This window comes from Homo sapiens, chromosome 4, assembly GCF_000001405.40.
Source record: "Homo sapiens chromosome 4, GRCh38.p14 Primary Assembly".
In the NCBI taxonomy this organism is placed as follows: domain Eukaryota; kingdom Metazoa; phylum Chordata; class Mammalia; order Primates; family Hominidae; genus Homo; species Homo sapiens.
The window spans coordinates 27,213,147-27,229,331 of NC_000004.12; the positions used below are offsets into that span (position 1 = coordinate 27,213,147).

General features: G+C 37.8%; 1 long non-coding RNA gene across 1 annotated transcript in view, besides 1 other annotated feature; it reads left to right on the forward strand.

Moving 5' to 3' along the window:
• Window positions 3,963-5,162: an enhancer, noted in NCBI's record as "BRD4-independent group 4 enhancer chr4:27218731-27219930 (GRCh37/hg19 assembly coordinates)". NCBI's record gives its function as "activates an origin of replication core promoter dependent on BRD2, P300/CBP, MED14 and CDK7 cofactors, and independent of BRD4, by STARR-seq in HCT116 cells {active_cell/tissue: HCT116}" and the evidence as "EXISTENCE:reporter gene assay evidence [ECO:0000049][PMID:35650434]".
• LINC02261 (long intergenic non-protein coding RNA 2261) overlaps window positions 4,333-16,185 on the forward strand; it is a 64,747-nt gene continuing 52,894 nt past the window's right edge. The window contains exons 1-2 of the long non-coding RNA NR_125921.1: window positions 4,333-4,417; window positions 14,235-14,351. This is a non-coding gene — a long non-coding RNA (long intergenic non-protein coding RNA 2261). The remainder of the gene's footprint in view (window positions 4,418-14,234; window positions 14,352-16,185) is intronic.

Consider the following 16,185-nt stretch of genomic DNA (forward strand, 5'->3'; position numbering starts at 1 on the left):
ATTATATATAATGTATAGCATATATTATATATAATACAAATTCTATATAGGTTTATATATAAATGAATTTTATTTTGTAAATCCTTCAAGTTATATATTATATATAGGTTTATATACAAATAAATTTTATTTTATAAATCCTTCCTTATGTTTTATATGAATAGTAGTGTATATATAGTAGTTTTTATACATATATACACAGTATATATAATAAAGTATGTGTATATATTACATATAGTGTATATATATATATACACACACTATATGTATAAAATACATGTATAAAATATAAGGATGAATTTATAAAATAAAATTTATTTAGGGCCGGGCGTGGTGGCTGACACCTGTAATCCCAGCACTTTGGGAGGCCGAGGTGGGCGGATCAGGAGGTCAGGAGATCGGGACCATCCTGGCTAACACGGTGAAACCCCGTCTCTACTAAAAATACAAAAAATTAGCTAGGCGTGGTGGCAGGTGCCTGTGGTCCCAGCTACTCAGGAGGCTGAGGCAGGAGAATGGTGTGAACCCGGGAGGCGGAGCTTGCAGTGAGCCTTGATCGCGCCACTGAACTCCAGCCTAGGCGACAGAGAGAGACTCCGTCTCAGAAAAAAAAAAAAAAAAAAAGAACAAGTTTACCCTCACACAACACTGGGAAATATGTTTTTTTCTCATTTTATAGATGAAGCTATTAAAGTCCAGGAAAAGTAAAGTCTTTGTCTAAGTTAGCGTTAGAATTTGAATCAGGCTGCATTCCTCTCCCCATCTTCCCGTCTGATTTCTTGTGATTCTTTCAAAGATGTGATTATTCACGTGGTCTGTGCTCCTTAATTCCCTCTACAATCTTACCCATAATGCAAAAGCACCTAATGGCAACAAAAGTCTATTCAACCTGAAATACTATGAGATGATCACCCTGCTTAATTGCTTAAGGAACCCAGCTGAATATAATTTTAAGCTATTTATTATGGGAACAGACTCTGGGATTCTCTGTCACAGTTTCTGAATAGAACTTTTTCTGTGCTGAGCTAAGTTTATCCAGGCATGGAGGCAAAGAACGCAGATGTTTAATTAAAAGGAGTGGCTTAACTTTAGATTAGATCATTGTAATCTTGGGAATCTAGCCGGATTTTAACACAATGTTATTTTTATTTGTGGATAGATATTTCTAAGGAGCTCCTGATATCTTTATAGCCTCTCCAGAACCCATTCTAATTCTAAAAACATTAAATTCACTCTTAGAATACCGAAGCTGAAGGTAATTCTTAGAGATAATCTATTCTTGTGCCTTTATTCTACAGATGTGGAAACTGAGGCCTAAGGATTTAAAAAAATCATCAAAGATCACACAAAAGATTGTCAAAGGTCAAATACAACTTATCCCTATTTTCCCAGGACTTTCTCAGTTTGAAAACTGAGGCAGGGCATGGTGGCACATGCCTATAATCCCAGCACTTTGGGAGACTGAGGCAGGAGGTTCCCTTGAGCCGTGGAGTTCAAGACCAGCCTGGACAATACAGTAAGACATTGTCTTCACAAAAAATTAAAAAATTGGCTGGGTGTGGCAGTGCACACCTATGGTCCCAGCTACTTAGGAGACTGAGGCAGGGGGATCACGTGAGCCTGGGAGGTCAAAAGGTTGAGACTACAGTGAGTCATGATCATGCCACTGCATTCTGGTCTGGGCAAAAACAAAAAACAAAAATCAAAAAAATCCTGGAAAGTCCTATGTCCCTGGGACTCCCTTAGTTCTGGGCAAACTGGGATGGCTGTCATCCTACCTTGCGCTCTATTTATTTATTTCACTGGCATAAATGCAAAATGGACAGATTTGGAGGAGAATTGCATGCTGCAGTTACTGATAGTATTCTAGAAACTGGACAGACAGAACCCAAATGTACTCTTTGGAGTGTCTGGCATGAGCAAACACTCAACAAACATTCATTGAATCAATGAGTGAATGAGAATGCAAGTCACTTAAAGTAGGTGTCATCGCTAGTTCATTTTTCTCAATGTTGCTCTAATTCCCATTGAGAGGGTACCAATGATTTCTTGCTTTTTAACCTGCCTACATTTTGTTCTGGAGTTCCTAGGTAAGATTAAGCTGCATGTAACCTATGGAGCTGCTGTTTTGCAGATGGTCGTTCCCAAGGTGCTTTTCACAGTGTTTTTGAATTATCTTGCCAAAATTTCAGGAAAAGCAGCAAAAAGAAGGGAAAGAAAAGCTTTCATAATGAGAAATGACAGGAAAGCAACTCCCTCATGGGGTTGTCAAGGAAAGAATTGTTGAATAATTCAAATAACAGATTTGTTCATTTCTAAGCCATTTCCTGCCCCAGCTTTGGAAATCTGCAGAAAAGTTCTGGATTAGGAATTATCCAAGACCTGATTTCATTGCTGCCAAGGGATCAGTTGAAGGGACAAGCTCCTTCAGGCGGCTTGGGGAAATTACCATAGTTTGAGGTCACTTACAGAATGTTCTGGGTTGGCAGGCCCTAGGTTGCTTTTTCCTTGCGCCAGGAAAATATAGACAGGGCCAGCACCACATCTCTGAAAATAAAATGTACTGAGTTCTCCCGGGTAGCTCAGCATTAGGTATGGCAGCTGCCCCAGCAGACTTACTTGTTCTTGTTTTGTTTGTTTTCTTTTTTTTTTTGCAGCTGTATCTAGGCATGGGAAGGGGTAGGAACTGGTGGTGAAACTCATGTAGGTTATGAGTCCAGGTGAAAGTAATTTGGCTCTTTTTAAGGAATTTCTGCAAAAGTTTAGAGGTCCTAATTGGGAAAAGTTATATTTTTGGATAATCTGCGAAATCCGTTTATCCGTATCATCCCTGGCCTTGTTATCACAGGTCACTGAGGGTTGGCTATACTTGTTTCTTATCTGCCCCAAGAGGACCTGGCGAGGATTTATTATCTCTTGCCACTAAATCCCTGACCATATGTGTATCAATTTACCAAACAGCCTTATATGTGCTTGGGGACATCCCTCAGAGATGGTTCAGTCATGAGAGCATTTCATAAGTTTTTACTATTACAAATACTACCTCACATTTGATAAGCTTTTACCTTTATTTTTCAGGCTAATCTTACAGTTATTATATTTTTATCCACAAAACTCTTCAAGGGAGGTAAAAGTGTTATTAATGTCCCCATCCCTGACAGATAAGAAAACTAAGTAATGGAGAAATGAGGTGATTTTCCAGAAGTTATTCATGTCAGAGCTGGTCCTGAAACCCAGATCTCTTACAGAAATTCAAATATTCACCTTTTTCTACTCTTCTTTGCAAATGCCTCTACTATTATTGATTGAATGGTAAACACTTTGAGGAAATGGGTTGGATGAAAACTCTTGCTTTGTTGGACATTCTTACTTGAAAAGTCCATCAGACTTAAACAAAGACCAGCTTATTTTGAATCTTAAAAAATGTAAGGCTACTCAAATTAACCTGAAGAGGGATTTGTGTTTTTTAGCAATTTCAGATGCCAGTCACTGTGACAAGTGCTTCTTATTCATTACCTGCACTAATGCTGGTGAGATGTTTGCACCAGCATCTGTTTGGTTTTAAGCTAGATAGTGATATATAGATGATGCCTAGGGCAGTGCACAGCTACCAAAGTACTAGGTATTGTAAGTTTCTTGGTTTGAATACAAATACATACTTGTACATACATACTCAAGAGATAAGCTAGTTTAAGTAAAATTCAATAGATATTAGTTGAAAATCACTCATTGTTCTGGGCACTGAATAAAACATAATCTCTTTCCTTCAAGGAGTTTGTGGTCCAATGAAGGAAACAGGACACTGATTAAAATATGGGTAAAAAGACTATGAGCTAGCATCCATGTGGTAGAAATAGTCTATAAGAAGGTAGGCTTCCCAAGGGCAGGAGTCCGTATCTCCAGAATTTAGTTGCTTCTTAAAGATTTGGTGAATGAAAAAAAAAATGAATGGGTGAATAAATAAATGTTCTAGGGAAGCATGTAGGAAAGACAATTGAGCTGTTCTAAAAGAGTTGTGGGAAGTTTCATAGAAATTGATGGGTGAGCTTCATATTCAAATATAAGTAAGATTTCAGTATATAAAGTTGGGAATTCTTGGCAAAGAAAAGAGCTAACAGAAATATTTGCAAGTGCACAGAGCATTTTGGAATTCAAGGGATGACAAATAATAAGTCTTGTGGGTGGGATTTAGACAGCTGGAAGTGATGAAGTGGAAGTCTAAGAGAATAAGCTAAAGAAGTAGGAAGTACCAAACTAAGGCTTTGACTCATTTATGCCCCAGGGAGGCATCATGTATTTATAAGTAGAAAATCAGCCTCTAATTTGTGCTTTAGTAAAGCCATCTCTTGTGTCCGTGTAGGAGAGTCCTGAGGTGGAGAAGGGCTGGGATCAAGCCAACCACTCACCCACTTAAGAAGTAATGAGATCTTTAATTGCCTTTTCAGCAGTAATGGGGGTGGAGGTGGGGGAGTAAATTCCAAAATCATTAGAAAAGTAGAATGGGTTGAGTTTGTTGACTCATTAGATGTGGGTGGGGAAGAGAGGGCGAAGGTAAAGATGACTAAAGTTTCTAGTCAGGCACTTGGGTGGATATACCAAAACTGTACATTTACATAGTCTGTGGGTTTCTGAACAACCTAACAATTTTAAACCCTCCTAACTAGATGGAAAACTCTTAAATTAGAAGTGCAATTTCAATCCCAAATTCATAAGTACTTTCTCATACAGCTTTGTTATCTTAGATTTCTTTTAGTATATTAAAAAAAAAGGTCAAGATGATGGCTTTTTTCATTCTCGGAAGAAAGCAGAGATGATCGTAATTTTTGCTTTGACATTCGCACTGTTCAGGCATGCCTCATAACTAGCTTTTAGGGCTTCAATAAGTAACGCAGTGACCAGAAGCTCTAAAATGGGATTTAGAAGTTTCCAAATGATACCCAATTAAAAAGTGTTCCAGGCAAAAAAGCAGCAAACCTTGCTTTGAAAGGTACTCACAGTTCCATTTCCCTGAGATGAGGAGGGAGCTGCAACTCTGGGCTGATGGTTAATGCTGAAAGCATTCAACTGCAGCTGTAATTACTGACAAGCAAACTATGAACCAGAATTAGGATTATTAGTAATTACTTCCTATGAATCAGGGCATGATGGGTTCATGGGTTTCTGTCAACTGTTTTGCTTGAGGCAGACGGATATCTAGAGTGTCAAACTTAAAAAAGTTCAGCACAAAGGAATAGATTAGGGAAGAAATTGCCTCAATGAGCTACATGAAAATGTAAAATTAGGTCTGTCTAAAGACAGTTGGTTGCTAACTTTGCTTCTTATCATGAAGGTTATGCTGAGTAAACCAGAAACTCAGGGTCATAAAACTTTGTTAGGATCAACTTTAGAGTTAATTTATTTTAGTCATTTTACTTAGGAAACTGAAGCCCAGACTAGGCAAGAAAGTTGCCCATGGTTACACAGCTGGTCAGTGATAACACTGAGACAAAGTGGTAGTCATTCTAGGTTGCAGGTGCAGGCCTTATCTAAAATGGTTTATCCAATTGTAATTTGTTGACTGTACATTTCGATGCATAGGTATGTGACTCTTGCTGGCATAATTTCTTTTTTTTAATTGTAAAAAACACATAAGATGGGATCTACCCTCTTAACAAATTTGTAAGTGGATTGTACAGTATTACGGTATTTACTATATGTGCATTAATTTTTTTTTTTTTTGAGATGGAGTTTCGCTCTTGTGGCCCAGGGTAGAGTGCAGTGGCATGATCTCTATTCACTGCAACCTCTGCCTCCCGGGTTCAGGTGATTCTCCTGCCTCAGCCTCCCGAGTAGCTGGGATTACAGGCACCTGCCACCATGCTTGGCTAATTTTTGTATTTTTAGTAGAGATGGGGTTTCACCATGGTGGCCAGGCTAGTCTCAAACCCCTGACCTCAAGTGATCTGCCTGCCTCAGCCTCCCAAAGTGCTGGGATTACAGGCGTGAGCCACCATGCCAGGCCTATATATGCATTGTTGTACAGCAGATCTCCACAACTTTTTTGTCTTGCATGACTGAAACTGTATTAATAAATAATACCTCAATTTCCCCATCCATAGCAGGGCAGCCATCATTCTACTTTCTGCTTCTATGAGTTTGACTACTTTAGATACTTCATGTAAGTGGAAAATTGAAGTATTTGTCCTTCTGTGACTGGTTTATTTCACTTAGCATAATGTTCTCAAAGTTTATCCATGCTGAAACAAATCATGGGATTTTCTTTTAAAAGACTAAATAATATTCCATTGTGTATATATATCACATATTTCTTTATCCATTCATCTGTTGACAGACAGTTAGGTTGTTTCCCTTCTTGATTGGTGTGAATAATGCCACAATGAACATGGGAGTTCAAATATCTCTTTGAGATCCTGCTTTAAATTATTTTGGATACATACCTAGAAATGAGACAGATGGATCATATGGTATTTTTATTTTCAGATTTTTCAAAGAACTTCTGTGCTATTTTCCATAGAGTGCCTGTATCTTGCTCCCCAATGGTGTGCAAGGGTTCCAATCTCTCTACATCCTCACCACCTCACAGATACTTGATATTTTCTGGTTTTTGGGTTTTTATTTTTTTAAATAATGACCATCCTAACAGATATGAGGGATATGGTGATATCTCATTGTGTGTTGCTTTTTTTTTTTTTTTTTGAGACAGAGTTTCACTCTGTTGTACAGGCTGGAGTTCAGTGGTGTGATCTTGGGTCACTGTAATCTCTGCCTCCCAGGTTCAAGTGATTCTCCTGCCTCAGCCTCCTGAGTAGCTGGGATTACAGGCGCCCACCACCATGCCTGGCTAATTTTTAGTAGAGATGGGGTTTCATCATGTTGGCCAGGCTGGTTTCAAACTCCTGACCTCAAATGATCCACCTGCCTCGGCCTCCCAAAGTGCTGGGATTACAGGTGTGAGCCACAGTGCCTGGCCACATTGTGGTTTTGATTTGAATTTCCCTGATGGTTAGTGATGCTGAGTATCTTTTCCTATACCTAGTGGCCATTTGCATGGCTTCTTCAAAGAAATGTCTATTTAATTAAGCTGTTTGCCCATTTTTAAATTGAGTTACTTATTTTGCAATTGGTTGTAGGAGTTTCTTATATATTTTAGAAATTAACCCCTTATCAGCTATATGATATGGAAATATTTTTTTCCAATTCATAGGTTGCTTTTCATCCTGTTGATTGTTTTATTTGCTGTGCAGAAGGTTTTAAGGTTTTCAAAGTCATCCCTTCTGTCTATTTTAGCTTTTGTGTCCTGTGCTTTTGATGTTATATTCAAGAAATCATGGAAAAATAGTTATAGTGCTCTTCTCTTATGTTTTCTTGTAGTTGTTGTATAGTTTCAGATTTTACATTTAATTTTATAGTGAATTTTGAGTTGACTTTTGTGTGTGGTGTAAAATAAAGGTTCAATTTTATTCTTTTACAACTAAATGTGCAGTTTTCCCTGCACCATCTGTTGGAGAGATATATTTCCCCATGATGTATTCTTGGCATCCTTGTTGAAGATAAGTTGACTGAATGTGCATAGGTTTATTTCTAGGGTATTTTTCCTGTTCCATTAATCTATAGGTTCATCTCTATGCCAGTACTATACTGTTTTGATTACTGTGGCTTTGTGATATAATTTGAAGTCAGGAAGTATGAGACTTCCAGCTTTGCTCTTTCTCACAGTTGTTTTGGCTTTTGGGGGGTACTTTGTGGTTCCCTATAGATGTTAGGGTTATTATTTCTCTTTATGTGAAAAAGTCTGGGATTTTGATGGGAATTTCATTGAATCTATAGATCACTTTGGGTAATGTGCACATTACAGTATTGAATCTTTCAATTTATGAACATGAGATGTCTTTAAATTTATTTGTGTCTTCTTTAATTTCATTCACCAGTGTTTTGCAGCATTCAGTGTACAAGTTTCTGGCCAACTTAGTTAAATTTATTTCAAACTATTTTTTTGGTGTTGTTATAAATGGGATTATTTTCCTTAACTTCTTTTTTTTGGATTGTTAATTTTTAGGGTATAGAAACATAACCAACTTTTTATGTTAATTTTGAAACCTGCCACCTTGTTGAATTTGTTTATTCAACAGGATTTTTTTTTTCAGAAACTAAAAGAACTTTAGGATTTTCTACATATACATCTGCAAACAGAGATAATTTTACTTATTCTTTTCTTGATTTGGGTAAGTTTAATGTATTTTTCTTGACTAATTTCTCTAGCTAAGATTTCCAGTTCCATGGTGAGTAAAAGTGGTGAGACTGGACATCCTTGGCTTGTTTCTGATCTCAGAGGAAAAGCTTTCAGTTTTTCACCTTTGAGTTTGGTGCTAGCTCCATTTTTTCTTTTTCATATATGATCTTGATCATGTTGAGGTAATTTTCTTCTACTCCTTGTTTGTTGAGTGTTTTTATTATAAAGTGGTGCTGAATTTTGTCAAATGCTTTTTTGGTGTCTATTGAGATGATCGTATGATTTTTATTCTTCTATTAATGTGACATATCGTATAGATAGATTCATACATTGAGCCATACTTGCATCTCAGGGATAAAACCTGCTTGAATGTGATATATAATAGTTTCAATTTGTTGTTCAATTAAGTTTGGTAGTGTTTTGTTGAAGATTTAAAAATTTATATGTATCAGAGATATTGGCTTACAGCTTTCTTTTTTTATAGTGTCTTTGTCTGGCTTTGATATTAGGATAATGCTGACTGCATAAAATGAGTTTGGAAGTATTACCTCCTTTTCAGCTTTTTGGAAGAGTTTGAGAAAGACTGACATTAGTTCTTCTTTAAAAGTTTGGTAGAATTCACCAGTAAAGCCCTTTAGTCTTGAGCTTTTCCTTTCTGGGAGGTTTTCGAATGTGGATTCAATCTTCTTATTCATCACTAGCACATTCAGATTTTCTATTTTTTTCATGATTCACTCTTGATACTTGTATGTCTTTAGGAATTTATCCATTTCTTCTTGGTTATCTGTAAGTCTCCTAGGCTTTCTTCATGCTTTTTATTCTTTTGTCTTTTTGCTCCTCTTACTGAGTAATTTCAAATGACTTTTCTTCAAGTTCACTGATTTTTTTCTTCTGCTTCATCAAGTCTGCTGTTGGACCACTCTAGTAAACGTTTTTGTTCAATTATTGTATTTTTCAGCACCAGAATTTCTATTTGACTTTTTTCTATATTTCCTTTTTTTTTGCTGATATTCTAATTTTGATTTTTTCTGAGCTCACTAAGCATCTTTATGGCTGTTTTTTTTTATTCTTTGTCAAGTATCTTACAGGCTTTCATTTCTTTAGGGTTGGTTTCTATAGATTTATTTTGATTCTTTGATTGGGCCATGCTTTCCTATTTCTTCGTGTGCCTTGTAACTTTGTGGGGGGATTTGCACATTAAAAAAAAGTCGCTTCTCTCAGTCTTTATAGAATGGCTTTAGACAGGGAAAGACCTTTCCTATTCAGCCTGGCTAAAGATTCCAGAGGCCTCTCAAACTTTTTCTGTGGATGCATCTTTTCTGGATTTGTTCAAGTACATTCTCAATTAGAGACATTTGCCAGCTTTTCTTCTTTTTTTCAGGACCTCTTAATTTCTTGCATCTTTGGTCTCTCTTTGTGGTATTTCAGGTTCTCTGGCTTTTAAGCAAGCCACCCGGTTCTTTTTCATTTGCAGTGATCTTCTGTGATCTGGAGTATGCTGGGTCACATCAGCACTCTGAGACAAGAGAGACAGAAACCAGTCCTTCAGGCAACACCTAAAAATCCTGCACATTGGATGGATATTTTAGTTTTCTCTTGCTTTCTCCAAGGAGAAGCCAGAAATTGACAGTTTTCCTCCAATTGCACTACATCGAGCTATGGGGCTCAATGGCAAGTGAGGGGTGTGGCAAGTGGGTGCCACAAATTTTCTTACTGACTTTGACGCAGTTGGTTTTGCCCTGACCTGGGGTGCAGGGACCTCTCAGTTTCTTTGGATTTCTTACAAAGGGAATTGGTCCATGTGTGGTTGAATAGGTTTCTCTGTGGGGAAAGGGAACATCCTGGACTTTCTATTCTGTTATCTTGCTTATGTCATCTCCCTCTCCACTCTTTAAAATGACAAATAATTACTCCTTTGTTAATAATATTCTTTAAAAAAACTTTAAGTGCTATTCAAGTGCAGTAGTGAGAATGGGGAACACAGTAGAACACGGAGTTTGATCTGTAACTGATTGAATTAACTGAGATAGCTCATTGTCTTCAGAAAAGTCTGCCCACTGCATTGCTAAGAGGAGTGGCTCTCTACTATTCTCTTTGTACTACTTGTCTTGGGTTGGGTTCCCCCAGAAGCAGATGGAGATTTGAATCACATAACTTATTTTGAACATAGTGCCAAGAAACACTAGAGGAGGAATGAGGAAATGAGGTGGAAAAGGAAAAAGAATCAACATAGTGAGTGTTAATGAGCAGGTTACCCCTGTGGGCAACTATGGGTAATTTCTGACAAGCGCCTCTGAGAGATAGTGCAGAATATGCCTCAGTGTGGTTCCACCCAAGGGGTAAAGTAGCCTCGGGTATTATTCTCCAACTTTCATCATTAAAAGCACTGTCCCTGGGAATGGCATATTCCTTGTCCTTCTGGCCTACACCACTCCTGGGTTGAGTCCTCTAAATCCAGTAGGGGAAAAGTCATAGGTGCTTGTCTTAGGCAGCAATCAACGTTCAAAGAATTGTGAGTTCAGAGGGAACACGGATAATACCCTGCCAGTGTCTGTTCTTCTGGGCTGGCTGTTGCAAACGGCATGCATTTGGATCCGGTAATCCCATATCACCAGATGCTAGAACAGTATCCAGGAAGAATTTGAAGTATTCTAGGAAATTTTAGAAGGTTAGGCAGAGACAGAGTTTTGGAAGTGAGAGCTCAAGCATTTCTTTGGAGAAATCACTAGAGCTTGGTGGAATTATGGATTCACGTATTCCCTGCATTAAGTTCCAAAGATTATAGGTTACATTGAATGAGAGTCCCATGAAAACCAGTACTGAGAACAGAAACATTGCTTGTGGAATGGCTTTGGCTCACAGCAGTATTAGCACTCTCCAGCATTACCACTCTCATCTAAGCCACTATTTTCCTCCTAGCTTATTGCCGTAGTGTCCTCAATGTTCTCCTTGCTTTTCCTGCAAACCCCCAATCCCTCTTTGCCTCTCTACCCTGACCAGTTATTCTCTACACAGTAGCCAGAGGGGCTATCTAGCACTAAGTCGGATTATGTTGTTCATTTGCTTATAATGTACCAGTGGCTTTCCATCTCACTCAGAGAAAATACTCTAAGGTCCTTTCAATGGTTTACAAGTCTCTGTATAATCAGCTCCTGCCTCCTCACCTCTGAGGTGACTTAGCCCCAGCTCCGGTGGCTTCTTTGCTGTCCGAAGACCACACCATGTGTATTCTCTCCTTCGAGCCTTTCCACTTGCTGTTTCCTCTCCCTGGAATGCTCTTTCCCACACCCACATGGATTGCTTTCTTACTTTCTTCAGGCCTCTGCTCAAATATTGGCTTTTATGGTTACTCTGCATGAAATATTCTTTACTCCTTCTTCGCAGCTTCATTTTTCTCCATAGCAATTTTTATTATTTATTTCTACAGCTAGAATGTAAACCCCACAAGTACTTGAATTTTGTTGATTATATTCAGTACTATATCTCCAGTGGTTAGAATAGTGCCTCACTTTCAATAAGCAATCAATGATTCAATAAATATTTGCTGAATAAATGAATGAAAGTATTAATACACGGATGTGGTTGGACAGAAACTGAAGTATACCCAGGGGAAAGTAGTCAGGCCAGGGAAGTCTAAACCATAAGAAATTGTTGTTGACTTCGAATTGTAGTTAATTTTCCTTTCTTACTCCTTATAATCTATAGTATATGGGGATGCTGAATTTGGAGAAGAGAAAGCATGGTAAGTGACTTCAGATTTTGAGGGACTAGTTTATGAAGAGGAGGATGAAGTTATTCCATGAATTACAAAGGCCAAGATCCCAGATCACAGGAAATAAACGACAGAGAAGCATATTTTTGAAGTCAAAGGAGGAAAGAACTCTCTAACCATTTGTACTTCCATAAAATGGAAGGGACTGCCTTTCTATAAGTAATGAGTCCCCCATCATCAGAGGTGTTCAAGCAGAGTAGAAAGTAGAGGTGAGATCCAGAAGATCTTTGAAGACTCTGTCAATCTTGAAATTCTAGAATTCCATAAACATGAGAGAGAAGCAAAAGTGTCTCTCACAAAGCATCCCACTACAGTGTGAATGCCATTTACTGAATATTCATCTCCTATAACATTTTTTTCATACAGCTGGAGAGTATTCTATTACCTGAAAGACTCAAACAAGCCCCCCCCCCAACTTTTTTTTAAAGCACATACCCAATGTTGGACATTTCTTTTAAATTTTTCATACTAAAAACAGAATTTGACCTTAGTTGGTTTCTGCCCTGAAGGGACATCCTAGCAACAGTGTTTGAGCAGACACAAGCTCAGGCGAAACTAAGAGTGGGTTTTAAAAAAAATATTGTTTCTTGGCCGGGCACCGTGGCTCACACCTGTAATCCCAGCACTTTGGGAGGCCGAGGCGGGCGGATCACGAGGTCAGGAGATCAAGACCATCCTGGCTAACACGGTGAAACCCTGTCTCTACTAAAAATACAAAAAATTAGCTGGGCGTGGTGGCGGGCGCCTGTAGTCCCAGCTACTCGAGAGGCTGAAGCAGGAAAATGGCGTGAACCTGGGAGGCGGAGCTTGCAGTGAGCATCGCGCCACTGCACTCCAGCCTGGGCGACAGAGCGAGACTGTCTCAAAAAAAAAAAGAAAAAAAAAACTGTTTCTTAGATCCAACCCTTTGTCTGTGTCGAACATGCAATGGTTAAGCCCCAAATATATCATGATGGAATAAGGAGGGGAGAGAGGTATTTGGGCTCTGAGTTTCCCCCATGTCTCCTAGGTCAGAGCTTCTTATATTTTATGTGCACACAATCATTGGGGTTTTTCTGTCACAGTGAAAATTCAAATATAGTAGGTCTGGGTTGGGGTCTGAGTTTTTGTATTTCTCCTAAGCTCTTGAGGGAAACCAGTCAGTTGACCGCTTTGTGAATATCACAGTCCTAGTTCATATTCCTTACGGGGCTGTCTATGAAATTGTCCCTATTTGGAGTCAGAAGCAGAAAATCTCATCCAAAGCCTAAAAACATTCTGAATCATTATGATGTTTACTTTGCATCAAGAAAAGCAATGACAAGTGGTTACTAATGAAAATAAGCTGTTGAAGGGAACTGCCAATTAGATAGAAACAATTCAGCTTTCATCTCACATCAAGGACAAAATTAATCATGCATGCTATTTCCAACAAAAATGCTTTAAGTAAATTATTTAGTATTTATATTTTGTAGTGATGCATGCCTAATAAAATCAATGGTTGCAGGGCATGATTAACCGGCATCCTTCAGAATCTAGACCTGCTGCCCTACTATAGGACTTGGTGTTTGAAAAATCCTGACCTTTTTGGAGAAGGGACAGAGGTTTACACTACAGTTTCTCTGTGGCATCCCAAAGTGTGACCTGGATATTTGCAGTTATCTAATCCAGGCTTGTTAAAGGTCCGTGTTCTTAGGCAGAAGTCCTGAACTCACTTTTAAAGGAGCAGTTCATCACAATGTATGACAATTGCCTCTGTTTGCTTCTTCCCTTCTAAAGTGGGAGTGACAGGGACAGTGTCTTGTTCACAGCACATGTAAATATTAAGAAACTAAAGACAGCCGGGCATGGTAGCTCACGTCTCTAATCCCAGCACTTTGGGAGCCCAAGGTGGACAGATCATGAGGTCAGGAGTTCAAGATCATCCTGTCCAACATGGTCAAACCCCGTCTCTACTAAAAATACAAAAATTAGCTGGGCGTGGTAACCTGCACCTGTAGTCCCAGCTACTCGGGAGACTGAGGCAGGAGAATCGCTTGAACCTGGGAGGCGGAGGAGGTTGCAGTGAGCTGAGATCGCACCATTGCACTCCAGCCTAGGCAACAAGAGCAAAACTCCATCTCAAAAAAAAAAAAAAAAAAAGGAAAAAAAAAAAAAGAAACTAAAGACATATTTTTTAGATAGAAAGAGTGAAACTTTCTTGAGAAGAAGTTCCATCTGCCAGCCCTGATCATATTGTAGTCTGCCTTGCAGAATTCATCTGAAGCTTCCTCCACTGCCAGACAGATCTTCCTGCATCAGGTCCGGTGCTGCCCCTGACATGAAATGCTCAAGATTTCTAGACATTGAAACACTCTGAAGAATTGAAAGGTAATTCAAAAAGGAAAAATAATGACTGTCCTCAATGTGTGTGTGTGTGTATATATGCACACCTACCTGCCTGTGTGTGCTTGTTTAGATGATAAGAAAAATACTAAGAAAGTCTCGACAATTGAAACACTATGGAATTGATACAAGCCAAGAAGCAGACCCAAATACACGCAGAGAATGAATAGTTTATCCACTAGATGGCTTAGGAAAAAAATGACTACTTAGTAAAACAACAAATTAAGTTAAATATATTTTCATATTACACAAACAGAAAACAAAAAATCCAGATGGCTTATTTAAAGAAATATTAACAAATAAAACAATAAAAGATCTATAATAAAATGTAGGTAAACATATTTTTGGAGTTCGAAAGACATTTTTAACAAAGAAAGAAAACACAAAGGAAAAGAGGAATATATTTGAATGCATACAATTTGAACACAAATTTGAAACTGATTTTCATCTTTTATACAATGCCAGTGAATTTCCAATGTTAGTAGAATGTAAGAAATAAACATTCTCATATAATGCTGGATAGACTATGAAATATACTTACATTACTGAAGTGTGATTTGGCAAACAAGGTCAAAAACCTGTAAGTTTTACATTCTATTTGATGCGGCAGTTGAATTTCTAAAAATTGGTTTTGAGAAAATTATTATAGATGTAGGGAAATATTATTTTGCAAAAAATAAGTAGAAACAATTAAGTATTCAATGGTAGGGAGTTAATTTACCAGATAATTATGCATCAATATGATGGAATACCATTCATCCATTAAAATGATGAATAAGAATATTTAATGATAAAGAGAAATATTGACAATACATTGTTAAGTAAAGCAGAAGTAAAGCTGTACTGAAAATGTGAACCCTACTTTAAAGACTGGGAGTTTATATGTAAAAAATTAATAGTGGTTATCCTTGAGTTTAGGTATTATGGGTAATTTAAAATTCTATTGCTGCTTTCTGTGCATTTTCATATTTTTATCAATAAACATATTTTACTTCTGAAATCAGAAAGAAGTGTTAATAAAAGAATGAAATCCCCTTACAGATGAAAATAGCATTGTTGTCACTATTAAAAATGAGCAGATGCTAATATTAATAATTGTACTAATTTAGGTCATGTTTTAAGTACTGTTAATAACTATTCTTGTTCTCTGTTAAATTAAGTCTCTTAAAGTTTTTACAAAGTACACAAAGGAACATGTTGAACAATATTTTAGTAGTCTAGATACAAAAAATGTCTCTTTATATTTATAAAAATAGACCAAATTATGCTGTGGTAACTAACAACCCTGAACCTCAGTGTTTTTAAATATGAAGGCTTAGTTCTCATTCTGGATGAATTTCTTTTCTTTTCTTTTTTGAGACACTTTCTTTTTTTTTTTTTAATTATACTTTAAGTTTTAGGGAACGTGTGCATAATGTGCGGGTTAGTTACATATGTATACATGTGCCATGTTGGTGTGCTGCACCCATTAACTCATCATTTAACATTAGGTATATTTCCTAATGCTATCCCTCCCCTCTCCCCCCACCCCACAACAGGCCCCGGTGTGTGATGCTCCCCTTCCTGTGTCCATGTGTTCTCATTGTTCAATTCCCACCTATGAGTGAGAACATGCTGTGTTTGGTTTTTTGTCCTTGCGATAGTTTACTGAGAATGATGGTTTCCAGCTTCATCCATGTCCCTACAAAGGACATGAACTCATCCTTTTTTATGGCTGCATAGTATTCCATGGTGTATATGTGCCACATTTTCTTAATCCAGTCTATCATTGTTGGACATTTAGGTTGGTTCCAAGTCTTTGCTATTGTGAATAGCGCCG